Consider the following 15,634-nt stretch of genomic DNA (forward strand, 5'->3'; position numbering starts at 1 on the left):
CAAAGTGCTGGGATTACAGGCCTGAGCCACCGTGCCTGGCCTCCTTTTTTCTGTTTTCATAATTGCCATCCTAATGGGTGGAAATGGTGTCTCATGTGGTTTTGTTCTCTTCTCTTCTGAAGTTTCAGAATTGTTTTCAAAAAGCCATTCATGAGCTCCCTACATGGTTCACCTGGACTGTGCCCCTCCTATAGTCCTGAGTTCTTCTTCCATCAAACCTATGTATGGAACTACCCGTTTTCTTTTTTCTTTTTTTTTTTTTTTGAGATGGAGTCTGATCTGTTGCCCATGCTGGAGTGCAGTGGTGCAATCTTGGCCCACTGCAGCCTATGCCTCCTGGGTTCAAGTGTTTCTCCTGCTTCAGCCTCCTGAGTAGCTGCGATTACAGGTGCACATCACCATGCCTGGTTAAGTTTTATATTTTTAGTAGAGACGGGGTTTCATCATATTGGGCAGGCTGGTCTCGAACTACTGACTTCAGGTGATCCGCCTGCCTTGGCCTCCCAAAGTGTTAGGATTACAGGCTCATCCTTGTAGCTCTAGTGTCTTGCAAGATACCTGGCCACCTACACAGTAGATGCCACCAAAGGACTGCATTCAAAATAACCACTTGAAGACCCTGACTTCAGAACATGCTGCTCATTTTCCCAGGAAGCCAAACCCCTACTCTCAGTGGTCTGTACGCATCTTCAGTCAGTGGGAAGCGGTGGTAATATACCCATAACTGTAAAATGAGAGAGACCGACTTCCTTGATCTTCAGTGGGGATTTTTGAAAATGGTTGATTGCACTCAAAGCAGAATTTGTATTTTGCTTCATTGGGTCACCTTGGGCAACAATTTCATTTCTGTAGAAAATTAATTTTGGAGGAAGCTGCATGTGCCAGGGGAGCCCTGGGTCCATCCTTTTGATGGTGAGGGGAAGTCCAGTTCCTCACTCGCCCATCCCTGCTTTCGGTTCCCTGTTGGTGATTTTCTTTTGTATTCATGCACGTGCCAATCAGCTGCTTTTGGTAAGGGAAGCCTTGGAAGGATGTCTGCTAAAGGTGCAGAGAAAATGCAGAGCTCCATTCAAGGTGAAAAAAGTGGTTGACAACTGGCAGAAAGAAGCTGGCTTTAGGGAGGAAGTCAGAAGCCAGGGTGCTGTACCCGTTGGGCTGTGTGTTATCCTGGGTCACTGGATCATGGGCATGTCCACAGGGTCCCTCAGGGGTGGGTTCTTGACACCCAGGGTGGCATGGACTTGGGCCAGTGGCTATTTACTAAGGGGTATGAATGTGTCTCAGCATGTTAAGATCTAGTGGAGCTGGACTGATACCTATTGGCCGAATGTGACCTCTGCCTGTTTCAAAGGTGTTTAATCCTGATGTCTCATAAATTAAGACTCAGGCTTGTAATCCCAGCACTTTGGGAGGCCGAGGTGGGTGGATCACTTGAGGTCTGGAGTTCGAGACCAGCCTGGCCAACATGGTGAAACCCTGTCTCCATTAAAAATACAAAAATTAGCTGGGCATGGTGGTAGGCACCTGTAATTCCAGCTACTTGGGAGGCTGAGGCAGGAGAATTCCTTGAATCCAGGAGGCGGAGGATTCAGTGAGCCGAGACCGTGCCCTGGCACTCCAGCCTGGGCGACAGAGCAAGACTCCACCTCAAAAAAAAAAAGGTAAAAAAGACTCAGTTTGGCCTCTGAGTTGTCAGTTTTTAGATCACAGTTATCCAGCCTGAGTTCCGTGGGTCCTTTGCTTTGCTCCTTTCAGAATGTAAATGACTCTTCAGCTCATGATGGCGTATGCCCCTAAAAGGAAGTGAGATACAAGCTTTAGAAGTCCGTCTTAGAAATTTCCCTTTTTTTTTTTTTTTTTTTTAAATAAGAGACAGGGTCTTGCTCTGTTGCCAGGCTAGAGTGCAGTGGTGCAATCATGGCTCTCTGCAGCCTTGAACTTCCTGGCTCAAGCGATCCTCCTACTTCGGCCTCTCAAGTAGCTGGGACTGCACATGCACGCCACCATGCCTGGTTAATTTATTTCCTACTCTTTAATAAAGGAGGTGGTATGCTGTAAACTCTTGTAGGATGTGGGTGTATTATGCTGAGCCCTGGTTCTGGAAGGCACTCTTGCGGCTAGATGGAAGTTGGTAGAGTGACAGAGCTCAGCCCCTTGTTGGCACTCTGCTCTGCCAATCCATTTGTGCCTTGTGGTCAGGCTGGTTCAGTTTGGGATGTGACAGATTTGGGAGCACTTGTATTCACTGAGTTCTCAGGCTGGCACATGAGTGAACTTGGTTTACCTTTGTTCCTGGCATGGCTGATACCATGTGTGGCTGATTCTGTTAGAGTGTGCCCTCACATTCATCCCTCTGTCTTCTTTGGCTTTGATAGAACCCAGATTTTGCTTGAGGCTGTGGTATGTAGTCCTTTATCTCGGTGAGGGATTAAGCCAGTTTTGAGTTTTGTTCTTTGCTTTCTCTGCTCCCTTGTGATTTTCTGGGATTACTTGTTCTTTCCTGGTAAAAGGGGTGATAAAGCTGGCTTCATCCCGTTCCCTTTCTTCCTGCTCAATTGTAAATGAGATGTCCAGAGTTAGGACAGTCCTCTGGGACAGCGAGTTCAAAAGGTTGGAGATTTTGGCCTGACATAGCCTTTGTATCTATCACTGGCCTATTTCCAGACTAGCCCAGCTCCGTGGGGTTGGATTTTCTTTGTGTGTGGGTTTTTTTCTTTTTGTTTTGTTTTTAGAGACAGGGCCTTGCTCTGTTAACTAGGCTGGAGTGCAGTGGTGCAATCATAGCTCACTACAGCCTCAAACTCCTGGGGTCCAGCCATCTTCCTGCTTCCGCCTCCCAAGTAGCTGGGACGACAGGTGTGTGCCGCCACACTCGGCTCCTTGTAGTTGGGTTTTCTGTTTCCTTTTTTTAGAGATGGGTTCTTACTATGTTGCCCAGGCTGGTCTTGGGTTTTCTGTGTTTTTCTTTCTTTCTTTTTTTTTTTTTTTTTTGAGACAGAGTCTTGCTCTGTTGCCCAGGCTGGAGTGCAGTGGCACCATCTCGGCTCACTGCCAGCTCCGCCTCCCGGATTCACGCCATTCTTCTGCCTCTGCCTCCCAAGTAGCTGGGACTACAGGTGCCCGCCACCACGCCCAGCTAATTTTTTGTATTTTTAGTAGAGATGGGGTTTCACCGTGTTAGCCAGGATGGTCTCGATCTCCTGACCTCGTGATCCACCTGCCTCGGCCTCCCAAAGTGCTGGGATTACAGGCGTGAGCCACCGCGCCCAGCGGGTTTTCTGTTTTTGTTTTTGTTGTTGTTGTTGTTGAGCAATGCTTTGTTTGTTTTGGGGCAGTGTTGTCACATTGATGAGACACCCCTCACCCCGCATGGCTGTGGAGCACAGGTGTTGCTCAGCACCTGGTGTGTTCTTGGTCTTCTATAGATGATTGTCAGATGACTGAAGAACATGCCCTGTCTCACTGCGTTATTTCCTGTGGTTGCAAATGATAGAAAATTCTTTAGATTGATTTAAGAAAAAAAAGATGAAGGACATTTATTTATTGACTCAAGTAATTAAGAAATCATCTTGGAGTTGAGCTGGATTAAGGGGGTCTGCCTTCTCCCAAATCTGTCTCCATCTGTCGTCCCTCACCACCGCTTCTCTGTGGTTGGGTGTCTTTCCGGGTGGGGTCTCGCTACATTATGGGGTGGAAAATGGCCCCAAGTAGCTCCAGGTTTCCAGGATGATGAGAGATCCTACTTCTAGAACGGGGTCGGCACACTCCCTCCTTACGGGTCATATTATAGGGTTTGTGAGCCATGCGATCTCTATCGCAGTGACTCAGCTCTGCCACTGGAGCAGAAACTCAGCCACAGACCATATGGGAGCAAATGGGTGTGGCTGCGTTCCAGGAACACCATGCTTATAAAAACAGTTTGGAGGCCAAATTTGACTCCCAGGCCATTGTTTGCTGACCTCAGCTCCTGGAGGAGACAAGGCCTCTTTTCTGGTGGCTCTGGTAGAACTTGTGCGAAGAGACCCTGTGGTCCAGGGCTGAGACTGGGGTGAGGTTAGTGAGACACTCACTTTGGCCACAAAATTGAAGGCGGTACCAAAAAACTTATCAATCAAGATAAATACTATTTTTATGTAATATTAAAAAAAACGAAAGTTGCATATGCCATGGTTCCGGCCAGTTAATTGCCTGCCCTGGGTTAGCTGTCCACCCCTGCAGTAGGGGGAGGTTAGGATAGTGCTGAAGGATCCCAGTGGAATGTGTTTCCCGTAGGAAAGCGGGGTGCTCTTACTAGAAGAAAGGGAAAGGGACCAGGCTCAGTGGTTTACGCCTGTAATCCCAGTGCTTTGGGAGGCCGATGCTGGATGATCATTTGATTCTAGGAGTTCAAGACCAGCTTGAGTAACATAGTAAGACCCTCGTCTCTACAGAAAAAAAAAAAAAATTAGCCGTGTATGGTGGTGTACACCTGTAGTCCCAGCTACTCATGAGCCTGAGATGGGAAGATCGCTTGAGCCCAGGAGTTCAAGACTGCAGTAAACTATGATTGTGCCACTGTGCTCTAGCCTGGGCGACAGAGTGAGACCTTGTCCCCACCCCGCCCCTCAAAAACAAAACAAAACAAAACAAAACAAAAAAAACCCCAAACAAGGAAAAGGAATGCTGTTTGGTGCACGTGTAGTAGTGATATTAATAGCTGGTTTTCATTGAGCACCAATTATATGCCAGGTATGTTAATAACTATGGCTAACATTTATTCACTGCATTTATTGGATACACTTTACATGTATTCCTATTTCTCATTTTTCCCTCATAGCAATCCATACACGTAGGTACTGTTCTCCCCACTGTACAGATGAAGAAAGTAGAGGACAAAATAAGTTTCCCAAGGTCACACAGTGCCTGAACTAGAATTTGGGACAAGGTTTTTGTCTTCCTTGTGGTCCCCAAGTCTTGGGCATCGGTGATAGTTAAGGCTTGATAGAAACTTTCCCAAAAGCCTGGTGCTGTTAGTGTCCTCTGTTAACAGGTGCCCCGGGGCAGCTCTTCTCAACACCCCTTCCTGGCACTTGTTCTTGTTGGCATTCGGCTTTCAGGTGTTTGGAGAACCAGAAGCCCTTGCCCGCTTTTTGACTTAACCCCATGTTTCAAAGCAGATCAGTGTATATCCCTAAATTAAATTACGGACACCGCAGGCGCTAATTGGCAGGTGAGCTGCGCTTTAAATAGACCACATTAATTCTGGCAGTGGAAGCGGAACCCTGCTGGGATAATTCTTATCATCATCAGCATCACCCTGACTAGCTTTAAAAGGATTCTGTAGCAGTAAGCAATTTGCAGAATTGAAAGGTGAAAACACACTTTAAAGCGTTCATGTAGATTCAAGGTCGGAGGGAGGTGACTGCATTTTTCAAGACAGGCTGCAGGTGAGAGTCACTTGACTGGAAATGTGATGGACGTACCGACAATGGTCTGGGGTATTTCGAAATACGTTGTTGGCCAGCTGGCCCAGGGTGTTGTTGTCGCCAGATTCCCCGTCCTGGTTTCTTGAGTGAGGCGGAGAATGGAAGGAAGGCTGTTTTGTACAGTTGTGTGGAGTAGACTGATCGGATGAGCTTGGGAAGTGGATTACTTTGACATTTAGGGATTGAGACACAAGATAGTCTCGAGGGACCTGCCCTCTTGCTGGTTTTTGTTATTCCTGGGAAGTTTATTCTAAATGATCCCAGTGATTGGCTTGATCCACAAATACTTATGCACACTCATACAGATGTATACATTTAGATGCTGCTAACACAAAAAGGAACCCACGCGAATGCCCTCTGCTATGAAGGGAATTAATTATTAAGCAAATGCTGATTGGTCATCATGGACTGGGCACTGTGCTCGGTGCTTTCCTTCCCTTTCTAGTTACCCCAGTAACCCTGGGCGATTCTGCACTTTTGTGTTGATTTTATGGGAGAGGATTTTCAGGCTTAGCATGGTTGAGTGACTTGCTCAAGGTCATTTGGTTGAATGGACTTTTTCTCTGTTGTCCTGCCTGCTAGACTGGAAGCCCCTTAGGGACGAGTTCTTGTTGTCTCTAGCTGGTGACACATAGCCTAGTTCGGTTCACAGCTCCCAGGAAGAATGCAGTGGATCCTAGTGAAGTTGAATTGAAACATTAGAGTGAATTTAACTAGCCTGCCATGCAGTTTCTGGAGATGGGTGTACTTGCCTCCTTCTGGAAGGCAGGTTCAAAGCCTTTGTCACATTTCAGAGGGGACTGTGAGCCTGTTTAGGTCCTAGATTGGAAGCCAGGTCTGACTGTAAAGACTCAGCTTCCCCTACTTGGAATATTAAACAGTTGTGAACGTGATCATTTTGAAGAAGGCCAAGTCCCCTCATTTTGCAGGGCAGTGTGATTTAGTGGTTTGCAGTGAGCTCTGGGGTCCCTTTCTGCCATACTGTTTACTAACTGTGTTGCTGGGCGAGTCGCTTCACTTGTCCTGGCTTCAGACCTTGTCTTTCACATGGCGATGGCCTTGGTTGTGATGATGTCAGATGTAAAGTGTTTACTGCAATAGCTGGTGCATAGTTAATGCTCAGTAAATAGTAGTTGCTGTTGCTGCTGTTATTATTACTGCCAGCATGAAAAAATGTTAAAGAGGCAATGTTAAGTGAAGAAAATTGATCACAAAATTATGTATACACTAGCATTACAACTATGAAAATATCTGGGGTTGGGCATGGTGGCTCCCGACTGTAATCCTAGCATTTTGGGAATCTCAGGCAAGAGGATCGCTTGAAGCCAGGAGTTTGGTACCAGCCTGCCAGCCTGCACAACATAGCAGAACCTCATCTCTACAAATAAATAAAAATTAAAAAGTTAGCTGGGCATGGGGGTGCGTGCCTGTGTCTCAGCTACTCGGGAGGCTGAGACAGGAGGATCACTTGAGCCCAGGACGTTGAGGCTGCAGTGAGCTGTCCAGCCTGGGTGACAGAGGGAGAGGCCCTGTCTCAAAAATAAATAAATAATAATTAATTTAAAATGTATATAACAAATTTTAAAAATCTGTGTACATGTGGATAAAAAGTAGTGGGATGTGAGGAGATACAAGTAGTTGTAGGAATGACTGTCTTATGGATAAAAACAAACTTTCTTAGGTTTCCCATAACGCCTTAAATCTGTTCCTATCCTCAGACTGAGTAATTCGACATGTGGAAATCTTTCGTAAGGAACTAGGAATGAGGACAATTATTTATGTATAGGGGTGTTCTTTACTGTACAGAGGGAAAGTTGGCCATGTGCCATGCCCTTAGTAGTAGGGAAATAGTTATGTTTTACTGGAAAGCCATCAAAAATCATCTTTGAAAGACTTTTAATTGTAATAGGAAAATGTTCATGCTCTAGACAAGAAAATAAATGAATCAGGATACAAAATTACACATATAAATATGTATGCATATACACTCATACAATATGATGTGGTTTTATTTATTTATTTTTTGAGACAGAGTGGAGTGTTGTGGCGTGATCTCGGCTCTCTGCAACCTCCGTCTCCTGGGTTCAAGCGATTCTCCTGCCTCAGCCTCCCAAGTAGCTGGGACTACAGGCGTGCGCCACCACACCCAGCTTTTTTGTATTTTTAGTAGAGACAGGGTTTCACCATTTTGGCCAGGATGGTCATCTCTTGACCTCGTGATCTGCCTGCCTTGGCCTCCCAAAGTGCTTGGATTACAGGGGTGAGCTACCGCGCCATCCTGTTTTTTTTGTTTTGTTTTTTTTGAGATAGAGTTTTGCTCTGTCGCCCAGGCTGGAGTACAGTGGTGCGATCTTGGCTCATTGCACCTTCTGCCTACCGGGTTCAAATGATTCTCCTGCCTCAGCCTCCCGTGTAGCTGGGATTACAGGTGCCTGCCACCATGCCTGGCTCATTATTGTATTTTTAGTAGAGATGGGGTTTCAGCATGTTGGCCAGGCTGATCTCGAACCCCTGACCTCAGATGATCCGCTCGCATCGGCCTCCCGGAGTGCTGAGATTACAGATATGGGCCACCGTGCCTGGCCTGATGTGTTCTTTTCTTCTGGCTGCTGTAACAAATTAATACACAGTTGTTGGCTTTTAAACACTATAATTTATTCTCCCACAGTTCTGGAGGTCAGAAGTCCCCAATCAGTTTCACTGGGCTAAAGTCAAGGTGACAGCAGGGCTGCTTCCTTCCAGAGGCTTCAGGGCTGAATCCGTTTCTGGCCCTTCCAGAGTCTGCTCGCTGCCCACCTTCCTTGGCTATGGCTGCCCCATTCTAGTCTTTGCTTCTCTGGCCACATCATGTCCTCCTCTTCTGTGTCAAGTTTCTCTCTGCCTGCCTCTTATGAAGATCTTGTGATTACGTCAGCCTCGCAGGGATTATGCAAGATAACCTCCCAATTTCCAGATCCTAACACAGTTGCATAGACTCTTTTACTATATAAGGTAATATTCAGAGAATTCTGGAGCTTAGGACGTCGATATGTTTGAGGATTATAATTCAGCCTACAGCAAATGTTGATTTTTTTATAAAAAAGAAAAGTGCAGTAAAAAAGACTGAAAACTCTTGAAAATGTCAATATTGGTCTTTTCTGGATGAGAGGTTTTAGAGTCATTTTTATTTTTGATATACTCTTCTGTATCTCCCACCTTTTTTTCTTATTTCATTATTGTTTTTGAGGCTGAGTCTTGTTCTGCCACCAGGCCGGAGTGCAGTGGTGCAATCTCAGCTCACTGCAACCTCCGCCTCCTGGGTTTAAGTGATTCTCCTGCCTCAGCCTGCCCGGTAGGTGGGATTACAGGTGTGCGCCACCATACCCAGCTAATTTTTGCATTTTTAGTAGAGATGGGGTTTTACTGTGTTGGCCAGGCTGGTCTTGAACTCCTAGCCTCAAGTGATCCACCACATCAGCCTCCCAAGTGCTGGGATTACAGGCATGAGCCACCGTTCCCAGCTTCAATTTTTATTTTAGATTCAGCGGGTACATGTGCAGGTTTGTTACCTGGGTACATTGCGTGATGCCGAGGTTTAGGGCACGATTGAACCCATCTCCCAGGCAGTGAACATAGTACCTGGTAGGTAGTTTTTCCGTCTGTGCTCTCCTCCCTCTCTACTCTCTCTAGCAGCCCCCAGTGTCTGTTGTTTGCCATCTTTATGTCTGTGTGTACCCAGGGTTGAGCTTCCATTTATAAGTGAGACTATCCAATATTTCGTTTTCTATTTCTGTGTAATTCGCTTAGGATAATGGCCTCCAGTCATCCATGTTGCTGCATAGGACACAATTTTGTTCTTTTTCATGGCTGCATAGTATTCCATTGTGTAAATGTACCACATTTTGTTTATCCAGTCCACTATTGATGGGTATCTGGGTTGATTCCATGTCTTTGGTGTTATCTCCTACCTTTTCCATGCTAAGGGGATACTCTGTTACAATCTCCAACTTCGCCTAGAGGCTTTGTGTGTTCCTCTCCCAGTGCTGAGTGCCCCAGGCCGAGTGCCAGGCGCCTGTGCCCTCTCTCCGTAGAGCCCGTGTTCTGGTACTACGTGAAGGAGGTCCTCAACAAGCACGAGCTGCAGCGCTTCTACTCCCTGCGCCACATCGCCTCAGACGTGGGCCGGGGTCGCGCCTGGCTGCGCTGTGCCCTCAACGAACACTCCCTGGAGCGCTACCTGCACATGCTCCTGGCCGACCGCTGCAGGCTGAGGTACGTGGCCGGGATGCGAACTGGGATGGGATGGAGCAAGAGGTGAAGATCTTGGAGTCTGGAATCAGACCACCTGGATTTTCATCCTAGTTCCCCGATCTGGGGGAAGTGGGCCTCCCTCTGACAGCTCCGGAGTGTTCTGCTGAGCTGTGGAGAAACTTGGGGGAGAATCATTGAGAGACTGCCTGTAAAGGGCTCGGCATGGCACTTGCATACAGCCAGCTTGGATGTGGAGAGAGCTGTTGTCTTAGGACATAGCTTCCTCTTCACTTTCTGGATTTTTTTTTTTTTTTTAAAGACAGGGTCTTGCTTTGTTGCCCAAGTTGGAGTGCAGTGGCATGAACATGGGTCTTTGCAGCCTGGACCTCCCTGGCTCAAGCAATCCTCCCACCTTAGCCTCCTGAGCAGCTAGGACCCTAAGCGTACGCCACCATGCCTGGCTAATTTAAAAAATTTTTTTGTAGCGATGGGGTCTCAGTGTGTTGCCCAGGCTGGTCTCGAACTCCTAGGTTCAAGTAATCTTCCCACCTCAGCCTCCCAAAGTGCTGGGATTACAGGTATGAGCTACCATGCCAGGTGCAGAATTTTAATTTGGGATTCTTGAATTCATTCAATCCCAAACTGAAAAAAACATGGAAATTTTACATTGGGGAAGGAAGTCATTTTTTTTGTTGTTGTTTGTTTGTTTGTTTTTGAGACGGAGCCTCACTCTTTTGCCCAGGCTGGAGTGCACTGATGCTATCTGGGCTCACTGCAACCTCCGTCTCCTAGTTCGAGCGATTCTCCTGCCTCAGCCTCCTGAGTAGCTGGGATTACAGGCCTGTGCCACCATACTCAGCTAATTTTTTGTATTTTTAGTGGGTACGGGGTTTAATCATGTTGGCCAGGCTGGTCTTGAACTCCAGACCTCAGGTGATCTGCCCGCCTAGGCCTCCCAAAGTCCTGGGGTTACAGGCGTGAGCCACTGTGGCTGGCCATGGCCATTAGTTTTGCTCTGAGAATGGTGGACTAGACATGTTGTTTTGTGTCCTTGAGTGATACGGAGCGACACTGACGAATCCTGTTCTGGTTCCTTAAGTAACTTCCCCATCAGCAACGCCCAGATCGTCAACAGTGAAATTTCACTGAATTCCGTAAGTGGGCAGTTTGTGAGTAGTGTGGCATGTTCCCTTGATTTTATGTCTTGCCCTGTGTTCCCTAGTTCAGGTCTCCTCTTCTGCTTTATCTACTGCTGTGGTCACCTCTCTACTGGTAATGTCTCAGATCTTCTGGGATTGTGCACTGGGGCTCTTAAAAATACTCTTAAAGTTCTCTGTTGCCTGTGGCTCCTTGTTCAATTGTATGGCAAGACTCTATGGGTCCAAAATGGGAGTGCTTGGGAACCAGGAGGACTGACACTGATGACACCTGTGTACTGCTCACGGTCAGAGTTCGGAGGCTGAGAATGTCTGGATCTCTAGGGCATTAACCAGCTTTAGTTAAGGAAAACACACTCCTGTTTCTTTCTTTCCTTTTTTTTGAGAAGAAGTCTCGCTTTTTTGCCTAGGCTGGAGTGTAGTGGCGCGACCTTGGCTCACTGTAACCTCTGCCTCCCGGCTTCAAGCGATTCTCCTGCCTCAGCCTCCCGAGTAGCTGGGTCTGCCAGCGCCTGCCACCATGCCTGGTTAATTTTTTGTATTTTTAGTAGAGACGGGGCTTCACTGTGTTAGCCAGGGTGGTCTTCTTGATCTCCTGACCTCGTGATCCTCCCGCCTCGGCCTCCCGACGTGCTGGGATTACAGGCGTGAGTTACTGTGTCTGGCCTACTCCTTTTTTTCGAAGTGAATTTCTGTGAAGCTCCTTCCAGCATATTATTTACGGGTAGTTCAGAGTTACATACTCAGTCTCAAAGTTGAAGTGACCAACAAGAAGAAATGAGTCCAGCAGGTAAGAATCACAGTTGACCTTACCTGGATCACCAGCCACTTCCCCAGCTGGATGTTGGGAAAACACATTCATTTAGATGCACGAAAACAGGCTCAGATTTTTAAAGGATTATGATTTTAGGAATCAGGTGCAGTCAGAATGTCAGCTTGAGCATGTGGTTTGTACGTCTACTAACATTTTCTGGGGAAGTATATTGGAAATGCGCCTCTTCTTTCTTTCTGTTAGTTGTATTCAGTCACTTCAGTGGCTAATTTTTCCAGTCTCTCACTCAACTACAGGTCATGTATCCCTGACTTTGCTTTAGCGAAATTGACTTTTTCCTTGATTAATTTAGAATTCAATGACCTGGCGGGGAAGTTATGGCATTGGGGATTTTTGGTTGCCATTACTTAACAGGAAGACAGAGAGAGCTTGCAAGTTGGACTCGGGAGACCTGCTTTTAAGCCCTGGCTGGACCATTTATTGGCCAGATGACCTTGGACAGGCCCTGTAGGCTTCCTTGACACCCCTACCCCAACTGCCATCTATATTTGTGGGGCATTTTTAGCCTCCTAGCCTTTTCCAAGGATAATGTGGGCTTTCAGGTCTGTAACCTAGGCAGGCATTATATTATTATTATTATTATTATTATTATTATTATTATTTTGAGGTGGAGTCTTGCTCTTTCGCCCAAGCTGGAGTACAGTGGCGCGATCTCTGCTCACCAAGCCTCCAGGTTCAAGCGATTCTCCTGCCTCAGCCTCCCGAGTAGCTGGGATTACAAGCGCCTGCCACCATGCCTGGCTAATTTTTTATATTTTTAGTAGAGATGGGGTTTCACTGTGTTGGCCAGGCTGGTCTTGAACTCCTGACCTCAAGTGATCCTCCCCCCTGGCCTCCTAAAGTGCTGGGATTACAGGTGTGAGCCACCGTGCCTGGCCAAGGCAGGCATTATATTAAATGCCCTGGTTGATGAAGCCGTAGAGGCTCTGTAATTTCTGTCTGAAATGGTCTCTTCTTGTATTAGGCAAATCAGGCGAGCCCTGTTGGCAGGCTTGGATTTCCTGTCTGTCTCTTGGGGACGTTGCTTGAGTGGAAGTCACCCACCTGACAGCTCCCTTCTACTTTGCTGCTTTATAAATACATTGACATATCATGTCTATTTTAGTACTCTAAAGCTGAGGGTCGGCAGGGGGACCAGTGAGGAAGTTGTAGGATGTAAGTGTTCAGTCTTCTGTTTGTAACCAGAAGCTGTAAACCAGCAGAGACCTCAGACAAATCATATCCCTCTTGGGGTGACCAGGTGCAGATCTTCCAGGGAGCCGTCTAATGGAATTTCCTGGTTAATGGACACAGAGAACCACTGCTAAGAACGATTTCCTTTTCTCTTTCAATCTGCAGCACTTTTTATGAAGACTGGTCTTTTGTGATGGATGAAGAAAGGTCCAGTATGCTTCCTACCATGGCAGCAGGTAAGCCTGGCCCAGACCAGGGTGCAGGGCCTTGTGACACTTGGCAGAGGGGCTGCCTTGGGGCAGTTCCACAGCGCCATGGAGTGTTGTGATTCTTCTGTCCCTCAACAACTCAATGAGTCACTTGCTGCTGTCCTTCTTTTACTAGGACTGAATGTTGGTTTTTTAATTTGTATTCCTTTAAAGAGAGAGCCTCACTCTGTTGCCCAGGCTGGAGTGCAGTGATGCAACCTCGGCTCACTGCAACCTCCGCCTCCTGGGTTCAAGTCATTTTCCTGTCTCAACCTTCCGAGAAGCTGGGATTACGGGCGCCTGCCACCATGACCAGCTAATTTTTGTATTTTAATAGAGATAGAGTTTCACTATGTTGGTCAGGCCGGTCTCGAAATCCTGGGCTCAAGTGATCCACCCGCCTTGGCCTCCCAAAGCATTGGGATTGCAGGTGTGAGCCACCGTGCCCGACCACAGTGTTGGGTCCATTTATCTAGAATGGGAGACCCTGGCAGAGAAAGTGAAGATTTGAAGGTTTTTAGTTGGGCTTTGGAGATGTAATATACATTGCGGGGAATTGGAGGTGGGAGACCTACCTTTGAATCCTGGCTTTACCCCTTGCTACCTGGTGACCTGGGCAGATGCCGTAAGCTTTGCTGCCTTTTCTTTCCTCTCTGTGAGGTGGGAATCATGCTGTCTCAGCAGTCATCTTCATGGGGCTGTGAGAGAATCATGTGAGATCAGGAGTCGCACACATGACGAGTCAACATGGAGAGACCCTGGGTTGATGTTAGTCGGTGGACTGTTACGTTGTTCGCCCTTTGACTCAAAGTGTGAAAGGTGGAATCAGCCGGACTGAAGTGGGCAACTTGCTTCCTCTTTCCAAGTTTTTTGTTGCCTCCTTTTTGTTTTTCCTTGAAAATTTATACTAAATCTCAAATATCTGGGGTTGTTAGTCCTGTCCATTGATGAGAAAAAGAATTTGACCATAATTTCCTTTGTAGATCATAAGATGCCAAGTGTAAGTTTCTGTCCACAGTAATGATGATGATGTTAACCAGTGCACATTTGATGGTTTATGGAGCTGAGTGTTTTGTGAGTGATTGCCTTTAATACTTACAATCCTGTGAGGAAGATAATATTGTCCCCATCTTACAGATAAGGTGACTGGAGTACAGGGAGATGCTAAGTTGCTGGACCAAGGTCTTTTTTTTTTTTTTTTTTTTTTTGAGACGGAGTTTCACTCTCGTTGCCCAGGCTGGAGTGCAATGGCAGGATCTTGGCTCACCACAACCTCTGCCTCCTGGGTTCAAGCGATTCTCCTGCTGCAGCCTCCCGAGTAGCTGGGATTATAGGCATGCACCAACACGCCTGGCTAATTTTGTATTTTTAGTAGATATGGGGTTTCTCCATGTTGGTCAGGCTGGTCTCGAACTCCTGACCTCAGGTGATCCACCTGTCTCAGCCTTCCAAAGTGCCGGGATTACAGGTGTGAGCCACCGTGCCCAGCCTGGATCAAGGTCTTGTAGCTAGTAGGTGGCAGTGCCGGGATTCACTCCCAGGCAGCCTGATCCCGGAACTTGTGCCTTTACCTCCTCCCAGTTGACCTCTTATTCATATTCATTTTCCTGGCTGTTAGGGAGAGAACGTGGCATGACTCAACTCCCATGATAACGGATGTCTGCTGACCCCAGTTTCATGGGAGGTTTTTTTTTTTTTTGAGGCAGAGTCTTGCTTTGTCACCCAGGCTGGAGTGCAGTGGCGCGATTTTCGCTCCCTGCAACGTCCGCATGGGAGGTATTTTTATACCTATTTAAGATCAACGTGCCTCCTCTTCTGTACTCTGTTGTCTGCAGCTGTCTTCTCTTGTTGCTGGTATGACTGCCCATCAGCAAGCACTCCAGACTTTTCCCTTTTTTTGGGCAGGTCTGAACTCCATACTCTTTGCGATTAACATCGACAACAAGGATTTGAACGGGCAGAGTAAGTTTGCTCCCACCGTTTCAGACCTCTTAAAGGAGTCAACGCAGAACGTGACCTCCTTGCTGAAGGAGTCCACGCAAGGAGTGAGCAGCCTGTTCAGGGAGATCACAGCCTCCTCTGCCGTCTCCATCCTCATCAAACCTGAACAGGAGACCGACCCCTTGCCTGTCGTGTCCAGGAATGTCAGTGCTGGTGAGTGGGAACGGGTGCTCGAGGCGGAGCAGAGGGAATCAGAATGTGGCGGATGGGGTGGACATATCTTGTCATCTGAAAGTCATTCCAAGGGGAATGGAGTCCAGTGCACTTGCGTTTTCCATTTGTGTTTCTGTTTCTCATCCTCATTCACTCTGAAAGGGCTCTGACGGCCTTACCTAGATGCGAGAATTGCCGGGTGGAAAAATGAACAGCTCAACCATAGCAAACGGAAAGTGAGAGTGTGAGAGACACCGGGAGCCAGATGACGTTGATCCTCATTCATTAATTCCTTTATTTGTTCCTTCATCGTATTCTGTGTGTTAGGCGGTGAGCCGAATAGGAAAGACAGATTACCAGCAGGTAGCCTGCAGT

At 47.1% G+C, this 15,634-nt stretch overlaps 1 protein-coding gene across 21 annotated transcripts in view; it reads left to right on the forward strand.

Annotated features, from left to right (window-relative positions):
• SNX29 (sorting nexin 29) overlaps positions 1 to 15,634 on the forward strand; it is a 597,554-nt gene that overhangs the window by 56,628 nt on the left and 525,292 nt on the right. For 19 of the 21 annotated variants that reach the window (XR_001752024.3, NM_032167.5, XM_017023874.2 and 16 more), the window contains exons 5-7: positions 9,536 to 9,716; positions 13,023 to 13,093; positions 15,011 to 15,259. Coding sequence is in view for 20 of the 21 variants with exons in the window: in NM_032167.5 (NP_115543.3) it covers positions 9,536 to 9,716; positions 13,023 to 13,093; positions 15,011 to 15,259 (501 nt within the window). In the remaining variant the exon portion in view is untranslated. The remainder of the gene's footprint in view (positions 1 to 9,535; positions 9,717 to 13,022; positions 13,094 to 15,010; positions 15,260 to 15,634) is intronic. The other 2 variants (XM_047434886.1, XM_047434885.1) reach the window with 1 other exon arrangement.

Source organism: Homo sapiens, chromosome 16 (genome assembly GCF_000001405.40).
Source record: "Homo sapiens chromosome 16, GRCh38.p14 Primary Assembly".
Lineage (NCBI taxonomy): Eukaryota > Metazoa > Chordata > Mammalia > Primates > Hominidae > Homo > Homo sapiens.